The 18,414-nt window shown below is 37.9% G+C and overlaps 1 protein-coding gene across 1 annotated transcript, besides 1 other annotated feature; it reads left to right on the plus strand.

Annotated features, from left to right (window-relative positions):
- Positions 1 to 378: 378 nt before the first annotated feature.
- Positions 379 to 13,466, plus strand: ZNF735 (zinc finger protein 735). The gene is made up of 4 exons (NM_001159524.1): positions 379 to 417; positions 6,268 to 6,394; positions 7,189 to 7,284; positions 12,490 to 13,466. Exons 1-4 carry the CDS (start codon positions 379 to 381, stop codon positions 13,464 to 13,466), a joined length of 1,239 nt encoding a protein of 412 aa, NP_001152996.1.
- Positions 9,006 to 9,275: a silencer, noted in NCBI's record as "fragment chr7:63676208-63676477 (GRCh37/hg19 assembly coordinates)". NCBI's record gives its function as "represses an EF-1alpha promoter that drives an FKBP-Casp9 reporter gene in an ReSE screen in K562 erythroleukemia cells {active_cell/tissue: K562}" and the evidence as "EXISTENCE:reporter gene assay evidence [ECO:0000049][PMID:32094911]".
- Positions 13,467 to 18,414: the final 4,948 nt, after the last annotated feature.

Here is an 18,414-nt window from a genome sequence, read left to right on the forward strand (position 1 = left end):
TGCATATGACGTTATACACAAGGTTAAATGCAAATATCCTCTGGTGTTGGCCTGGCTCAGATCAGGGAAGAAGCCCTGCCTGTAAAGGGTGCAGCTTAGGCTGTTATTTTTGCTTCATTCAGCCTAGCGTCTGATCAAATATTCCGTCACTCAGGGCGTGAAGGGTGGGGCCTGAAACCTTATCCCATCAGGGGCCATATATTAGAAACTGTATAATCAGGCATGCAGCTGGAGAGAACAGGACGCCTCCGTAATTTTACCGGGCCTTTTGTGTTTCTCTGCGTCCAGAGCTCCAGTTCTTCTCTTCACTGCTCTGCGTCCTCTGCTCTTAGAGGTCAAGCCACTGTGGCCTTGTGTCCTGCAGGTATCCGCAGATTTATGGCTAAAAGACCGGGACCCCCTGGAAGCCGAGAAATGGTGAGTGCTGGGTCTGTCATCGTGAGAGAGGGGTGGGAGGTGGTTGGAACCGGCTGAAAGTGGCTGCAGCAGGACCCATACTTCCTCGCAGTCAGCTCCGGAGTCTGAGGACCCAAATCCTCCTTGGCCCAGTTCGGCTGTTAGCCCCCTCCAGCCCTAAGATGGTGCCTGGGCCAGCGGCTGGGACCCTGGGAGTTCTGTCTTTTTCCTCTGCAGTGGCTTTGCCCTGGGCTGGAGCCCTCTCTGGGCAGCTCTGCACTCCCAGCGCCTCATCTCATCCAGATTGTACAGGGATTGGGAAAGTTATCAGGGGAGAATCCTGACACAGGGTGCAGGATTCATAAGTGGTAAGAGCTGTGGTCCCTGGGGTCCCTAGTTCCTCATTTTTCCTTTTAGAGATGTGTGGGAGTCACTGTAAAAATATTAGAGAATTTAATCAAAACGTGATTCAAGAATCATAGAGCGGGCCAGGCGCGGTGGCTCACGCCTGTAATCCCAGCACTTTGGGAGGCCGAGGCGGGCGGATCACGAGGTCAGGTGTTCGAGACCAGCATGACCAACATGGTAAAACCCCATCTCTACTAAAAATACAAAAATTAGCTGGGTGTGGTGGCACGTGCCTGTAGTCCCAGCTACTCGGTAGTCTGAGACAGGAGAATCACCTGAACCCGGGAGGCGGAGGTTGCAGTGAGCCGAGATCGCGCCATTGTACTCCAGCCTGGGCGACAAAGCAAGACTCCACCTCAAAAAAAAAAAGAAGAACCATAGAGCGCCCAGCTATGGCTTGTGGGTTGTGATCCATGGGAGAGACTTGAAGAAAAGTCTGTTATAAGTTGCATGATGAAGCAAACCAAATGCAATAATTGGTTTGGTACAGTTATTTAGTGTTTTTACTTGGAAGATCCAGGTGAAAATTTATTGGTTATGTCATCAGAGATTCATTGGCAGATTGTGGTTGCCTAGGCCCGAATATTTTCTTCAAGATAGTAATCTCCAATAAATGTTTTTTTTTTTTTTTTTTTTTTTTTTTTTTGGAGAGGGAGTCTCACTCTGTCCTCCAGGCTGGAGTGCAGTGGTGCAATCTCACCTCTTTACAACCTCTGCCTCCTGGTTCAAATGATTGTCCTGCCTCAGCCTCCCGAGTAGCTGGAATTACAGGTGTAGGCCACCACGCCCAACTAATTTTTGTATTTTTAGTAGAGACGGGATTTCACCACGTTGGCCAGGTTGGTCTCGAACTTTTGACCTCAGGTGATCTGCCTGCCTCAGCCTCCCAACAGGCTTGGGTTATAGGCATGAGCCACCACACTCAGTCAAGTTTTTTTTCTTTTACCTTTTATTTTAGGTTCAGGAGTACATGTGCAAGTTTGTTATATAGGTAAAATCATATCATGAAGTTTTTGTGTACAGATTATATTATCACTCACGTACTAAGCATAGTACTCAACAGATTTGTTTTCTGATTTTCTTCGTCTTCTGACCCTCCACCCTGAACTGAGCCTCAGTGTCTGTTGTTCTCTTATTTGCATCCATGTATTCTCATTATTTCACTCCCACTTACAAGTGACAACATACAGTTTTTGATTTTCTGCTCCTGCACTAGTTTTCTAAAAATAAATCTCCAGCTCCATCGATGTTGCTGCAAAGGACATGATGTTGTTCTTTCTTATAGCCGCATCATATTTCATGGTGTTTATGTAACACATTTTCTTTATCCAGTCTACCACTGAAGACATACAGGTTTATTTCTGGTTTTTGCTATTGTGAATCATTTTCTGTAATAAACATATGCGTGCATGTGTCTTCATGGTAGAATAACTTACATTTATTGGGTGTATTCCCAATTGTGGTACTGGGAATGGTAATTCTGTTTTCAGGTTTTTGAAAAAATGCCAAACTGTTTTTCTCAATGGTTAAACAAATTTATACTCTCACCAGCAGCGTATAAGCATTCAATTTCTCCACAACCTCACAAGCATCTGTTCCGTTTTTTTTTTTTGACTTTTTAGTCTAATTGTTTTTATTTGAATTATTTCTTTTTTCTTCATTACTCTAGTGTTTTATCTATCTTATTATTTTTACACAGAATCAACTTCTGGTTTTGTTGAACTTTTTTTTTTTTTTTGAGACGGAGCTTCGCTTTCGCCCAGGCTGGAGTGCAGTGGCGTGATCTCGGCTCACTGCAACCTTCGCCTTCCATTTTTCAAGCGATTCTCCTGGGATTACAGGCATGTACCACCATGCCTAGCTAATTTTTGTATTTGTAGTAGAGACGGGGTTTCACCATCTTGGCCAGGCTGGTCTCAAACTCCTGACCTCGTGATTTGCCCGCCTTGGCCTCTGAAAGTGCTGGGATTCCAGGAGTGAGCCGCAGTGCATGGCCTGTTGAACTTTTTTTAGTTATTTAGGTCTCAACTTTCTTCATTTCAGTTCTGATTTTGGTTATTTCTTGACTTTTGCGAGTGTTGAAGTTGGTTTGCTCTTTTGAAATTCTTTTAATTGTAACATTAGATTTTTAAATTGAGATCTTTCTAACTTTTTGATGTGATGTTTAGTGATATACATTTTGTTCTTAACACTGCCTTAGCTGTAACCCTGAGATTCTGGTATGTTGTACTTAATCTCTAATTAGTTTCAAAAATTTTATTTCTGCCTTAATTTCATTATTTACAAAACAGCCATTTGGAAGCTGATTATTCAATTTTTATGTAATTTCATCATTTTGTATGTTTTTTGTATTGAATTATTATTCTATATATTTTCTTTTTAAAATTAATGATAGAGAAACATAAGAATAAATAAAAATGCTGTGCTCTTAATCCAAATGCTAAAAATTATTCAACACTTAGTACCAGCTCCCAGGGTGCTATGAAAATTAAATCACAAAATGTGTTATTCCCAGCACAGTGTTCTGTGATATGCTCCTGAGCACATAGTACCTGCTTAATAAACATTTTATTAGTACATGTGTGCAGGTTTTCCAGGTGCAGATTTACTCAGATATTGCTGCCTTCTGTTTTCTCTGTAAACTTAAAAAAGCCAACAAAAAAATATAGCATTTCAGCATGGTGATTGGTTGTCTTTATTTGTACCAGATGTATTTGTTTTGTGACAAATTTGGTGGGTGTAAGGGACTCTTTGCTGTGCCTGCTTTCTCTCGCTAATGCTAATAATGTGTCTGGGAAAGCACAATCAGCATTTACAGGGGACTTGTTGAAAAAGCCCATTCCTGGACCCTTTTGGATCCTGCAGAATCACTTTGCATAAAGCAGGGCCAAGATTACCAAGTGATTTATAAACTTGAGGGGTTCAAGATACATTCAGGAGAGTTTAGTTCAACCTTTGCATCAAAGGAAGGCTGCACTGCCTGCCCTGTTTCAGTTTGGTAGGAAGAGGTCAGTGCGGTTCGTGCTCCCATTACTGTAAAGAAGATTGCTGGAGTCTGATAGGGGAGGGCAGGGAAAAAGAAACTTATATTTTATTAGTTATGGAGAAGCTCATTGTTCTCTCATTGCTCTTAAATCTTTTCAATTATACACAACAAAAATGGGTGAATGTTTTCTGCAAGTCTCGGTCTTTCTGCCCTTGGGTGTGTGTGGTGGTAGCAGGTGAATAGGTTGTGCTTTAAAGGCATATTCTCAAGATGCAGGTTTGATATGTCCAGAGCATCTTACCTGAAAATACATTTCAGAGAAAGAGGAGGAAAAGAAAAAAATCACTTTTTCTCAGGTGAGCATGTTTCAGATCAAGAGCAGTGTCCACTCTGCCTTTTGGAATGCCATCTGTTTGGAAATTGCAAATTTTTACTTCTGTACTTGTACTGTTGATCCCTAATGAGTTTGTTTCAACTACTTTTTGTGATTTGTATGATAGTCAAGGGGTTCTGAAAAAAATATTTTTTTTCTATATGCTGTAGCGTTCTATACATTCTCTTCATCTTGGATTCTTATATGCAATGCAGAATTCTCACTACAAATTTATAACCTGCAATATTTAAAATGTTCCCATTGTAGCTGTTGAACATGAGAAGGTGTAAATACTCAAGATTTCTATTGAGGAAACACAGTTGTCTTTGGATATTAGTGAAAAGTGAAACATACCTTGTTGAGGTTTCATCTGTGTGCTCTATTAGTTCCATGCAGAACAGGGTTTAGAAAATGTTCATTTAAACAGAATGGCATGTATTACCCAGAAAGTTCTGAAAAAACTATTAGGAGATACTTGCTCTCCAGGGTGCTAAACAAAGACTACTTAAAATTACTATTAAAAATTACACAACAGGGAAGTTATCTGTACCTTCAACTTTGCATAAAACTGATGTTTCTTTATAATTAAATTTAGGTCAGTCACGGTGGCTCAGGCTTGTAATCTCAGCACTTTGGGAGGCTGGGGCAGGCAGATCACATGAGGTCAGGAGTTCGAGGCCCGCCTGGCCAACCTGGTGAAACCCTGTCTCTACTAAAAAAATACAAAAAATAGCCAAGTGTAGTGCCATGCGCCTGTAATCCCAGCTACTTGGGAGGTTGAGGCAGGAGAATTGCTTGACCTCAGGAGGCGGAGGTTGCAGTGACCTGAGATTGCACCATTACACTCTAGCCTGGGCGACAGAGCAAGACTCCATCTCAAAAAAAAAAGAAAAAAGAAAAAAAATATATATATATATATATTTATTTATTTAAATGTAGTTATAATTTACTTTTCTGAGAGGAGAGAAATACCACAGCAGTGATGTTGTGTTGTGTGTGCATCAGCACATAATAAAAATGTGTCCTAATAAAGGTGATAACAATTTTATTCACTTGGTTCAAGATCTCTATGACATTTTTTCCACGATAGAGTTAATTATTATTCTCTTAATTATTAAGTACACTTAGGAGATTTACTAGCCGAAGTGCATAAACGATCACATTTAATCTGGAAGCTGTCCTTTCTTTTTAGATGACTTTTGCATATATTTGTCTTTTAAAGTTGAAGGCTCTTATCTTTATTTACAGGTGAGAGAAACTGGGGAAAACCCAGACTGCCACTTACTGGATGTTTGACAAAATATTCTTACTAGGCTAGAAACATTGGTGAACTTGCTAAAAATTCAGAAATTCAGACTTTATCCCAAATCTCCTGAAACAAAATCTCACAACAAAATATTTAGTTTATTGCACATATTTAGACTTAAGAGGTACCTTCCAACTCATCATGACTGTTTTATCTGAGAAATATACACAGCTTATTCTGTATGATGTAAATATAGCACTGAAAAATAGACATGTCCGACCGGGTGAGGTGGCTCATGCCTGCAATCCCAGCACTTTGGGAGGCAAAGGTGAGTGGATCACGTGAGGTCAGGAGTTCAAGACCTGCCTGGCCAACATGGAGAAACCCCTTCTCTACTAAAAATACAAAAATTAGCCAGGCGTGGTGGCCCATGCCTGTATTCCCAGCTACTCGGGAGACTGAGGCAGGAGAATCGATTGAACCCGAGGCGGAGGTTGCACTGAGCCAAGATCACGCTACTGCACTCCAGTCTGGGCAACAGAGTGAGACTTGGTAAAGAAAAAAAAAAAAAGAAAAGAAAAAAGAAGGACAAGTCCATGTTGATGCCCTTAATTTTATAATTTATCATCCAGAAAATTATCAAAGCTACTGTGGTATTGTGAATCTTATGCTCTCCTCTTTTCTCAGAATTAGAGAATACTTCCATGTTAAAAATTATCTTACTGAGTAATTTCAGTCACTCTTGTAAGTGAGAAACACTTCTTTTTACTCTCTTTTTTAACTTGAGTCAAATAAAAATCTCTGCTTACGGCCATATGGTAAGTGTGTGTTCATGAGGTTTTTCTTTTTTTTTTTCAGGGACTGTTGACATTCAGAGACATAGCTATAGAATTCTCTCTGGCGGAGTGGCAATGCCTGGATCATGCTCAGCAGAATTTATATAGAGATGTGATGTTAGAGAACTACAGAAACCTGTTCTCCCTGGGTGAGGTTAACCTCAATACATAATTCCTAATATATTGCCGTTCTCTCTTTTCTAAGATGATTTTGGTAATTTCTGCTTTGCATGAATGAATTTTAGCTCTCCGATTTAAAGAAAATCTTGGGGATTCATTGGTGTAGATTAAATTCTTCAAGATGTTTTATCTTGACCTGAACTTTTCCCTTTCCTGAGCTTATGTATCTTTTGCTCTAGGTTAGTGGCAATTCCAAAAATGTCATGGCATAAAATAGCGTTGCCAACACCTTAGAATTCAGTTGTCACCAACAATGTTTGATTCAGTAGTACTGAGTAGTGAAAATAAGGACTTACAAATTTAAAATATTTTCTAAATATTGAGAAAGTTCTGTTACAAATAATATTAATTTTCTAGAATTTTCTATTATATCCTTTTTACTGAGCATAATACTAGTTTGGTAATTAAAGAATTCAGCAAGATTTACATGACCAGGCACAGTGGCTCACACCTGTAATCCCAGCACGTTGGGAGGCCGAGGCAGGCAGATCACAAGGTCAGGAGTTCGAGACCAGCCTGGCTAATATGGTGAAACTCCGTCTCTACTAAAAATACAAAAATTAGCTGGGCGTGGTGGTATGTGCCTGTAGTCCCAGCTACTCAGGAGGCTGAGGCAGAAGCATTGCTTGCACCTGGGAAGTGGAGGTTGCAGTGAGCTGAGATCATGCCACTGCACTCCAGCCTGAGCGACAGAGTGAGACTCCATCTCAAAAAATAAATAAATAAATAAGATTTAAGTTACTTTTTTTTCTTAATAAAACAGGTATGACTGTCTCTAAGCCAGACTTGATCGCCTGTCTGGAGCAAAATAAAGAGCCCCAGAATATAAAGAGAAATGAGATGGCAGCCAAACACCCAGGTAGGTGAGAGCAAATGAAGCAGATGACACGGATGAGATGTCCACAAGTCAAGGAGGTAGCCAGTCTTTAAAATGTGGTCTGCAGAGCTGTGCTTTTATGGAAAGAGTTTCTGAGAAGCTTGAGTATTTTTTATTTTTTATTTTTTTTATTTTTTTGCTCTCACATTGGGACACCTTCTGCCCCATGCTGTTAAATTCTCTAAGGATTCTACTTTCATTTCAATAATCTTTCTTCAGGTTCACAGTGTGAGCCAAAGTTTTCTTTATGGCTTATCAGGGACTGCACAAACTGACTACTTTGCCATTGCTTTTGGGGACACACTAATATCTGCATATTTTTGAGAAACTCTATGTTAAACCATTTAAAAAACTTTTTGCATCATGTCTAAAATGTGTGAGAATAGTAATTTCTGTTTCATTGGTGGTTGTCCATTTTTCTGTACATGCCATTCTGTTTTTATTACTGTAGCCTTGAAATATAGTTTAAAGTTTTTTACAATTTTTTTATTTTTTAATTTTATATACGTATTTATTTATTTAAAGGGTGGGTTACGATACTTGCTGTAGGGGGATATGCAAGCAGGGTACCTCATGTCTTCATTTTACTCTGTTGCATATTTTAGATATAGATTCATAAATGGTATTGCTGTATTATATAATAATTTCATTTTTAATTATTTGAAGAACATTCATGATATTTTTTATGATGGCTGCATCTTTTTTCTCATCAATAACTTTCATAGGTTTCAATTTCTTTACATCATCAACATAGTTGGTGTTTTAAAAAAAAATTATAGTGGTCATCCTAATTGATGTAAGGTAATTTTGTTTTGTATTGTTATTTTATTTTGCATTTTTCTATAAATTATTAATTTTGTGCAACCTTTCAAATACTTCTTCCCATTTGTATATCTTTTTATTAAAATTTAGTTTAATCATTTGTCCATTTCTTTTTTCTTTTTTTTTTTTTGAAACAGAGTTTTTCTCTTGTTGCCTAAGCTGGAGTGCAATGGGGCAATTTTGGCTCACAGCAACCTCTGCCTCCCAGATTCAAATGATTCTCCTGCCTCAGTCTCCTGAGTACCTGGGATCAGGGATGTGCCACCATGCCCAGCTAATTTTGTATTTTTAGTAGAGATGGGTTTCGCCATGTTGGTCAGACTGGTCTCGAATTACTGACCTCAGGTGATCTGCCCACCTCAGCCTCCCAAAGTTCTGGGATTACATGAGTGAGCCACTGCACCCGGTTCATTTGTGCATTTCTAAATCAAGTAATTCAATTACTGTTGTCTACTTCTAGGAGTCGTTTATATATTTTCAATATTAAGCCTTATCACATGTGATTTTCAAATATTGTCACCCATTTCTTGGGTGACACTGTCACTCTATTAAATGTTTTATTTGATTGCAGAAATTTTGAAGTTTAGCCCAGTTAAATTTTCCTGTTCTTCTCTTTGTTGCTCATGCATTTGATGACATGTCTAAGAAAATGGTGCCAAGACCAATGTCATGTCTTTCCACTATATTTTTTTCTAAGAGTTTCATTTTTTTTTTTCAGTCCAAGTATTTTGTTTAAAATATTTTTTGTATATGGTGCAATTAAAGCATCCAACTTCATTTTTTCAATGTAGATATCCAGTTTTCAACATTATCTATTGAAGGGTTTATATTTTCTCCATTGTCTGCTCCTGGCAACCTTGTGGCAGATTATTTGGTCATACACAGAAGAGTTCATTGCTGGGCTCCCTATTTTGTTCTATCATGTCTTTATTTGTCTTTGTGTGAATACCACATAGTTATTGTTATTGTTGCTTTTTATTATGTTTTGAAATCATGAAGTATAATGCCTCTGTTTTTCATGTGTGTTTCTCTAGATATAGTTCATAATAAAATTTAAAAATTTTAGGTCAAGCGTGGTGGCTCACACCTGTAATCCCAGCACTTTGGGAGGCTGAGGCGGGTGGATCACGAGGTCAGGAGATCAAGACCATCCTGGCTAACAAGGTGAAAACCCGTCTCTACTAAAAAATACAAAAAATTAACCAGGTGTAGTGGCGGGCACCTATAGTCCCAGCTACTTGGGAGGCTGAGGCAGGAGAATGGCATGAACCCAGGAGGTGGCGCTTGCAGTGAGCCAAGATCGCACCACTTCACTCCAGCCTGAGCAACAGAGTGAGACTCCATCTCAAAAAAAAAAAAATTTAAACAATATTTCAATAATAAATATACTTTTGGAATTTTGATATAGATTATATTAAATTTGTTCACCACTGTGGGATATATTGACATCTTAACAAATTAAGTTGTCACTTAAATATGTTGAGCCTTGAGCAAAAATATTAAATTAGGTTAAATTAAATTATTTGACCCTGTGCAAGAATACATTGAAGAGTGTGTTTATTTCCATATATTTTTGATTTGCCAGTTTTACTTTTTTCTTTTTAGTTTTATTGAGCTTTGATTAGAAAACATACACTGCATGATTTTGCTCTTCTTAAATTTTTTTTTTTTTTGACACAGGGTTTCTCACTCTGTTGCCCAGACTGTAGTGCAGTAGCACAATCTTGGCTCATCACAACCTCAACTTCCTGGACTCAAGTAATCCTTCCACCTTGGCCTCCTGAGTGGCTTGCACTACAGACCTACCCCGACCATACCCAGCTAATTCTCAATTATTTGTAGAGACAGGGTCTCACTGTGTTCCCAAGGCTGGTATCAAAGTTCTTGCCCTGAATGATCCTACCACCTTTGCCTCCCAAAGTACTGGGGTTACACCTGTGAGCCACTGCACCTGGCTGATCTTTTTAAATTTACTAAGACTTATGTGTTCTAACAGAATGTACCAGATGCAAATAAGAATATTGTGTATCCACTTGCTTTTGACTGGAGAGTTCTGTACATGTCTGTTTAGCCTATTTGGTTTGTGATATGGTGTAGGTGCCCTCAAAATCTCATGTTGAAATGTAATCTCCACTGTTGGATGTGGGGCCTAATGAGAGCTGTTTGCATCACGGAGACAAATCCCTCATGAATGACTTGGCACAATCATAGAGTTCTCACACTATTAATTCACATGAGAGCTGGTTGCTTAAAGGAACCTGGCTCCTCCACCTCACACTCGCATCATCTTTCACCATGTGACATGTTTGGTTCTTTTTTGCCTTCCACTGTAATTGCAAGCTTCCTCATATCCTCACCAGAAACAGATGCTGGCATATACTTCTTGTACAGTCTACTGAACTGTGAACCAAAGAAGTCTTTTTCATTATAAAAGTTTTCTATAGCATTGTTTTCTCAGGTTGTTTTCTATAGCATTGCAAAATGAATTCATATACAATACAATGTTCTTCAGGTTTTCTGTTTTTTTTAATTGATTTTTTATTTAAATTTTTTATTTATTATTGAAAGTGAGGTCTTAATGTTTATAATTTTATGTTGCTATTTTATTTCTTGCTTCATTTTTGTCAATATTTGCTTTATATATTTTGAAGTCCTGATGTTATATATGCATATGCATATAGATAGACATAATAGTTACAGATTCCTAGTAAATGGACTCATTTTACTATTATATAATATCAGTCTTTGTCTCATGCTAGTAATGGACTCATTTTCTTTTGTGTGTCTATAAAGATTTTTTCTTTGTGCTACATTGGAGATTTTATAAAACCTCTTAATGTTACAATAGTATATTTTACATTGGTAAAAAAAAATGACTTCAGTTGCATAGAAAAATTTGTCCTCATTATATCTACCCTGTGCTTCTTACTGATCTTGCTAATTGTATCTTTTTATGTTTTATGATTATTTTTATGCTTATATCTTTCAAATTTTAAAGAATAACTAAAAATGTTTTCTGTACAATCACAATAATGCCACAGAATTTTATTTTTTTGTATATGCATATGTTTTTCAGAAAGTTATGTATTTTCATATGATCTTTTTTCATTATATTATTTGAAGTGGAAAGACCTCTTTTCAGCATTTTATTTAGGGCACATGCAGTGCTTATATGCTTTTCCAGCATTTGTTTATTCTGGAAGATCTTTATTTTTTCTTTATTTTGTAGTACATTTTTGCTGGTTATATTTTCACTGTGAAGATTTTTTTTCAGCACTTTGACCATTTTACACAGTTCTTTTCTGACCTGAAATGTTTCTGTTGACAAATTCACTGGTTGTCTCGGAGGACTAGGCTTATAAATAATACCTCATTTTTATCTTGCAGCTCCAAACATTATCTTCTGGTTTGTGATTTTTGAAACTTTGCTTAAATATGTGTTATGGATCTTTTTGTGTATATCCTAGTTTGTTTGTTTAACTTCTTCATTTGTTACATTACTTTTTTCTTACCTTTAAATTATTTCAGTTTTCTTTTCTATGTCCACAATTGTTTATTTTTATTATTCCAACCATTTTGTTGACATTCTCATTTATCTGATGTCTGGTTTTCCATTTTTTTCTCATTGAGCAAAATATGGATTATCTTAAATTTTAAAAATTAATATATACATCTTTATTTTTATAGTTGCTTTTCGAAAATTTTGATTTTTTTGATTGGACCATGTTGCCCAAATATTTTGTATACATTATAATCTTTGGTTGAGATTTAGACATTAACATAAAACTACCTTTCACAATCTTTGTAATGCAGCTCTTTCTTGGCATAGCCTGAAAGCAATTGTCTTGGGTAGAGATTCTGGGAGTCTTGCAAACATGTTCTCAAGATGTGTCTTGTCTGCAATTTTGTATTTATTTTTCAGTTAAGACTTCTTCATATTTCTCCTTACTGGTCAGTAACCACTTTCTACATCTATTTTCTGTCCATGATAGTGCAGTCTTTCTGTTGTTGTAACACTCACTTTTGATCTCAGAAAACTTAAAGCTGTCATTAAAGGCACCATGTTCTTCTACTGGGGATGAGGAAGGGCTGTGTTGGGTAAATGTAGCAGACTTTTCTCTATATATGGTTCTTGACATTGTGGTCACATGGTGCACACACTTACTTTATTTATAAACTTCCAACAAAGGTATTTTGATAACTATGATTTTGTTACATTTATATATCTATGAAGGAATTATGGCCTGTGGTATTTTGATATGCCATTTTGCTAATGTACCTTGAACAATTTTATATATTTGATTTGTACAGTATATTTATCTGAGTCTAGTAAGTGGAGTAACTTGTGATTTTTATGTCTTTCAGTTACATGTTCTCATTTCAACCAAGACCTTCAGCCAGAGCAGAGCATAAAAGATTCACTCCAAAAAGTAATACCAAGAACATATGGAAAATGTGGACATGAGAATTTACAATTAAAAAAATGTTGTAAAAGAGTAGATGAGTGTGAGGTGCACAAAGGAGGTTATAATGACCTTAACCAATGTTTGTCAAATACCCAAAACAAAATATTTCAGACTCATAAATGTGTCAAAGTCTTCAGTAAATTTTCAAATTCCAATAGACACAATGCAAGATATACTGGAAAGAAACATTTGAAATGTAAAAAATATGGCAAATCATTTTGCATGTTTTCACACCTAAATCAACATCAGATAATTCATACTAAGGAGAAGTCCTACAAATGTGAAGAATGTGGCAAATCCTTTAACCACTCCTCAAGCGGTACTACACATAAAAGAATTCTTACTGGAGAGAAACCCTACAGATGTGAGGAATGTGGCAAAGCCTTTAGGTGGCCCTCAAACCTTACTAGACATAAGAGAATTCACACTGGAGAGAAACCCTACGCATGTGAAGAATGTGGCCAAGCCTTTAGGCGCTCCTCAACACTTACTAACCACAAGAGAATTCATACTGGAGAGAGACCCTACAAATGTGAAGAATGTGGCAAAGCCTTTAGCGTATCCTCAGCCCTCATTTACCACAAGAGAATTCATACTGGAGAGAAACCCTACACATGTGAAGAATGTGGCAAAGCCTTTAACTGCTCCTCGACTCTTAAGACACATAAGATAATTCATACTGGAGAGAAACCCTACACATGTGAAGAATGTGGCAGAACCTTTAACTGCTCCTCAACTGTAAAGGCACATAAGAGAATTCATACTGGAGAGAAACCATACAAATGTGAAGAATGTGACAAAGCTTTTAAGTGGCATTCAAGTCTTGCTAAACATAAGATAATTCACACTGGAGAGAAACCCTACAAATGTAAATAATGTGGCAAAGTCCAGCCCTCAGACCTTATAATACATAAAATAATTTATACTGGAAAGAAAGCATTACAAGTGTAGAGAATGTGGCCAAGCCTTTATCTAGTTCCATACCTTAATTGTACATAAGAGAATTCATATTGGACAAAAATCTTATAAATGTAAAAAAATGTAACAAAGCCTTTAACCAACCCTCAAAGCATAATGAACCTAAGAGAATTTATTTAAAAACAGTTTTTTTTTTCTTGAGATGGAGTCTCACTTTTTCATCCAGGCTGAAGTGCAGTGGCATGATCTCAGCTCACTGCAACCTCTACCTCCTGGGTCCAAGTGATTCTTCTGCCTCAGCCTGCCAAGTAGCAGGGACTACAGGCACATGCCACTATGCCTGGATAATTTTTGTATTTTTAGTAGAGATGGGGTTTCACCATGTTGGCCAGGCTGGTCTTGAACTCCAGACCTCAGGTAATCCATCCACGTCAGCATCCCAAAGTGCTGGGGCTACAGGCGGAGGTCACCACACCTGGCCTGCCAGTGGTCTAAACTGAAAATAAGTTGAAGAATTTTGTTCTCATAAATCAAATTTGTATTCTTTTTTACCCTATTTAGATTTTTAAAAAAATTTTGTGGGTAGTTAGCGTGCATACACATGCCAAGACCAGCTCAGTCAGGGAGACCCTAACCCAGTGGCACTAGAGGAATTAAAGACACATACACAGAAATATAGAAGTGTGAAGTGGGAAATCAGGGGTCTCATAGCCTTCAGAGCTGAGAGCCTCGAACAGAGATTTACCCACATATTTATTAAGAACAAGCCAGTCATTAGCATTGTTTCTATAGATATTAAATTAACTAAAAGTATCCCTTATGGGAAATGAAGGGATGGGCCAAATTAAAGGAATAGGTTGGGCTAGTTATCTGCAGCAGGAGCATGTCCTTAAGGCACAGATTGCTCATGCTATTTTTGTGGTTTGAGAACGCCTTTAAGTGGTTTTCCGCCCTGGGCAGGCCAGGTGTTGCTTGCTCTCATTCTTGTAAACCCACAACCTTCCAGCGTGGGCTTTATGGCCATCATGAACATGTCACAGTGCTGCAGAGATTTTGTTTATGGCCAGTTTATGGCCAGATTTTGGGGAGCTTGTTCCCAACATACACACTTACAGCATATATGAGACATTTTAACACAGGCATATATTATTTAATTATCACAGCAGAGTAAATGAGGTATTCCTCATCACGAGCGTGTATTTATCCTTTGTATTACAAACAATCCCATTATACAGTTTTAGTTATTTCAATATGTGCAATTGAATTATTAACCACAGGGTCATTTTATGATCATAAAAATTACATGATTATAATTAATATCCATACATTTCTGAGTCTTGATTAAATATTTTTAAAAACTTGTTTTATATGTATTTTTGTACATGTGCCTCTCTGCTGACAAACAAAAACAGACTTTTAGTTTTGATTTACATAGAGTTACATATACAAACATATTTCTCTAAAGATATATCAGCCAGACACAGTGGCTCATGCCTGTAATCTCAGCACTTTGGGAGGCCTAGTGGGGCAAATAATTTGAGGTCAGGAGTTCAAGACCAGCCTGATCAACATGGTGAAACCCCATCTTTACTAAAAATACAAAAAATTAGCTGGGCGTGGTGATGCGTGCCTGTATTTCCAGCTACTAGGGAGGCTGAGGCAGGAGAATCACTTGATCCTGGGAGGCAGAGGTTGCGGTGAGCCAAGATGCCACCACTGCACTCCAGCCTGGATGACAGAGCAGGACACCGTTTAAAAAAAAAAAGATATACCCTATGTATAAGAAAGTTATGTAGCAAGTGAGTGTGTTTGTGTGTGAGTCTGTATGCATTTTCAGAACAGAAGAACAATATTGAAACAAAAAAGAATATTTTAATAAGGTGGATAATTAACAAAAAACCTGGAAACCTCAGAGATCCTCAAAAAAATAAACCTATATTCTGTGTCTTGTATTGAATTCATTACTGTAAAATCATATCCCACCCAAATCTTATCACAAATTGTAATCCCCACATGTTAAGGGAGGGACTTGGTGGGAGTTGATTGGAACATGAGGGTAATTTTCCCCCATGCTGTTCTCATGATTGTAAGTGAGTTCTCAAAAGATCTAATGGTTGTATAACTGGTGGTTTTTTTCTGCTCTCTCTCCTGCTGCCTAGTGAAGAAGGTACTTGCTTCTCCTTTACCTTCCACTGTAATTGCAGGTTTCCTGAGACCTCCCCAGCCATGCAGAATTGTGAGTAAATTAAACCTCCTTTCTGTATAAATTACCCATTCTCTGGTAGTATCTTTATAGTAGTGTGAAAACAGACTAATACAGAAAATTAATACTGGGAGTTTGGGGCACTATAAAGATAATTGAAAATGTGGAAGTGACTTTGGAAATGGGTAATAGGCAGAGGTTGAAACAGTTTAGAGAGATCAGAAAAAGATAGAAAAATGTGGGAAAGTTTGGAACTTCTTAGAGACTTGTTGAATGCTTTTGACTGAAATGCTAAGAGTGATATAGATGATAAAGTCCAGGCTGAGGTGGTCTCAGATGGAGATGAAAAACTTATGTTTAAAGTGGAAGCAGAACATAAAAGTTTGGAAAGTTGGCAGCCTGATCATGATTTAGAATATAAAACCCCATTTTTTGGAAAGAAATTCGAGGCACTGCAGAAATTTGCAAAAGTAAAGAGAAGCTGAATATTGATAGCCAAGACAATGGGGAAAATGTCTTCAGGTCATGTTAAAGGTCTGAGGCAGGTCCTTCCATCATAGGCCAGGCGCCCTAGGAGGAAACACTGGTTTCATGTTCGAGGTCCAGGGCCCCATTACTCTATGAAGTCTTGGGACTTGGTGCCCTGCATCCCAGCTGCTCCAGATCCAGCTGTGGCTAAAAAGGGCCAAGGTACAGCTTGGGTTATTTCTTTAGAAAGTGCAATCCTCAAACCTTGGTAGCTTCCATGTGGTATTGGGCATGTCAGTGAACATAAGACAAGAGTTGAGCTCTGGGAACCTCTGCCTAGATTTCAGAGGATGGATAAAAATGCCTGGATGTTCAGGCAGAAGTCTTCTACAGGGGCAGAGCCCTCATGGAGAACCAGTAATAGGGCAATGCAGAAGGGAAATGTGGGGTTGGAGCCCTCATGCAGAGTCCCCCCTGAAGCTGTCTACTGGACTTGTGAGAAGGCCTCTATACTCCAGACCCCAGAATGACAGATCCGCCATGAGCTTGCACTGTGCACCTGGAAAAGCCACAGGCATTCAATTCCAGTCCATGAAGGAGCTGCCCAAGGTCATGAGGCCCACCCCTTGCATCAGCATGCCCCACATGTGAGACATGGAGTCAAACGAGATCATCTCAGAGCTTTAAGATTTAATGACTGCCCTGTTGGAATTCAAAATTGCATGAGGCCTGTAGCTCTTTGGTTTTGGCCATTTTCTCCCACTTGAAATGGGATAACTTATCTAAGGCCTGTACCCACACTGTATCTTAGAAGTTTCTACTTTGCTTTTGATTTACAGGCTCATAGGTAGCAGGGACTTGCCTTGTCTCAGATTGGACTTTGGAGTTAGACTTTTGGGTTGATGCTAAAATAAGTTAAGATTTTGGGAGACTCTTGGGAAAGCATGTTTGGTTTTGAAATATATAAAGGGTGTGAGATTTGGAAGGGGCCATGGGCAGAATGATACTCATGGTGTTCTCATGATAGTGAGTGAGTTCTCATGAGATTGGATGGTTTTATAAGTGGTAATTTTTCCTGTTCTTCACTAAGTGAAAAAGATACCTGCTTTTCCTTCACCTTCTGCCATTATTGTAAGGTTCCTGAGGCCTCCCCAGCCATGCTGAACTGTGAGTCAAATTAGCCTCTTTTCTTTATAATTTACCTAGTCTTGGGTGTGTCCTTATAGCAATGTGAGAATGGACTATTAGACACAGTAACTTAATAACAAAGGTATCATTATTATCTTTAATTTACAAAGAAAGAAACAGAGCCAGGGAGAGAAATAACTTGCCAGGGAGAGAAATAATAGCAGAGCCAGTATTAAAAAACAAGCAACTTTGACTCCAGAGATAATACTCTTGAATACAACAATAAAAACCCTGTCAAACAGAAAAGAAGTTACCTTTAACATCCATTCTTAAAAATTTAACAAAAATGAAAATGGATACATTTGTATTGTTATATATGTATATATGTGAATGTATACTATAAATAAGAAATACTTCATACAAGCCAGAAAAAGATAAGTAATTCATGAATAAAATTGAAAAGTAGTTCAATTAATTATTATTTGCAGATGATATCTTTGTTTACTTAGAAAGACAACAAAAGCAACTGAAAGGCAATTTTTGAAATCTATTCAAGTGGGTAGGCAAAATTCTCAAGTGACCCTCAGATTCCCACTTCACTGCACACCTGCTATGTAATCCTTTTCTCTTGAGTGTGACAAAATGTGTGACTGTGGTGGGACATTATTCATGTAATTATGTTACTAATGTATTGGCTTCCTGTTTATCATAAAAGAGATTATCTTGATTAGACTAAACTTAATCAGAGGTCTTTTTAAGAGAAAGAGCACATCATGGAAAAACACCATGATGTGCAGAAAACAGTTTGAGAGCAGAGAACTGCTTTGACCACATATTTACCAGGGTGGAGTTTTTCCCCACCCTAGTAAGCCTGAGGGTACTACAGGAGACCAGGGCATATCTCAGCTCTTATCTCAACCACAGAAGACAGACATTCCCAGAGTGGATGTTTATAGACCACCCCCCAGGAATGCATTCCTTTCCCAGGGTTTTAATATATTAATATTAAAACCTTGCTAGGAAAAGAATTTAGTGATATCTCTCCTACTTGCATGTCCATTTATAGGCTCTCTGCAAGAAGAAAAATATGGCTCTTTTTGCCCAACC

The sequence above is a fragment of the Homo sapiens genome, chromosome 7 (assembly GCF_000001405.40).
Source record: "Homo sapiens chromosome 7, GRCh38.p14 Primary Assembly".
In the NCBI taxonomy this organism is placed as follows: Eukaryota; Metazoa; Chordata; class Mammalia; order Primates; family Hominidae; genus Homo; species Homo sapiens.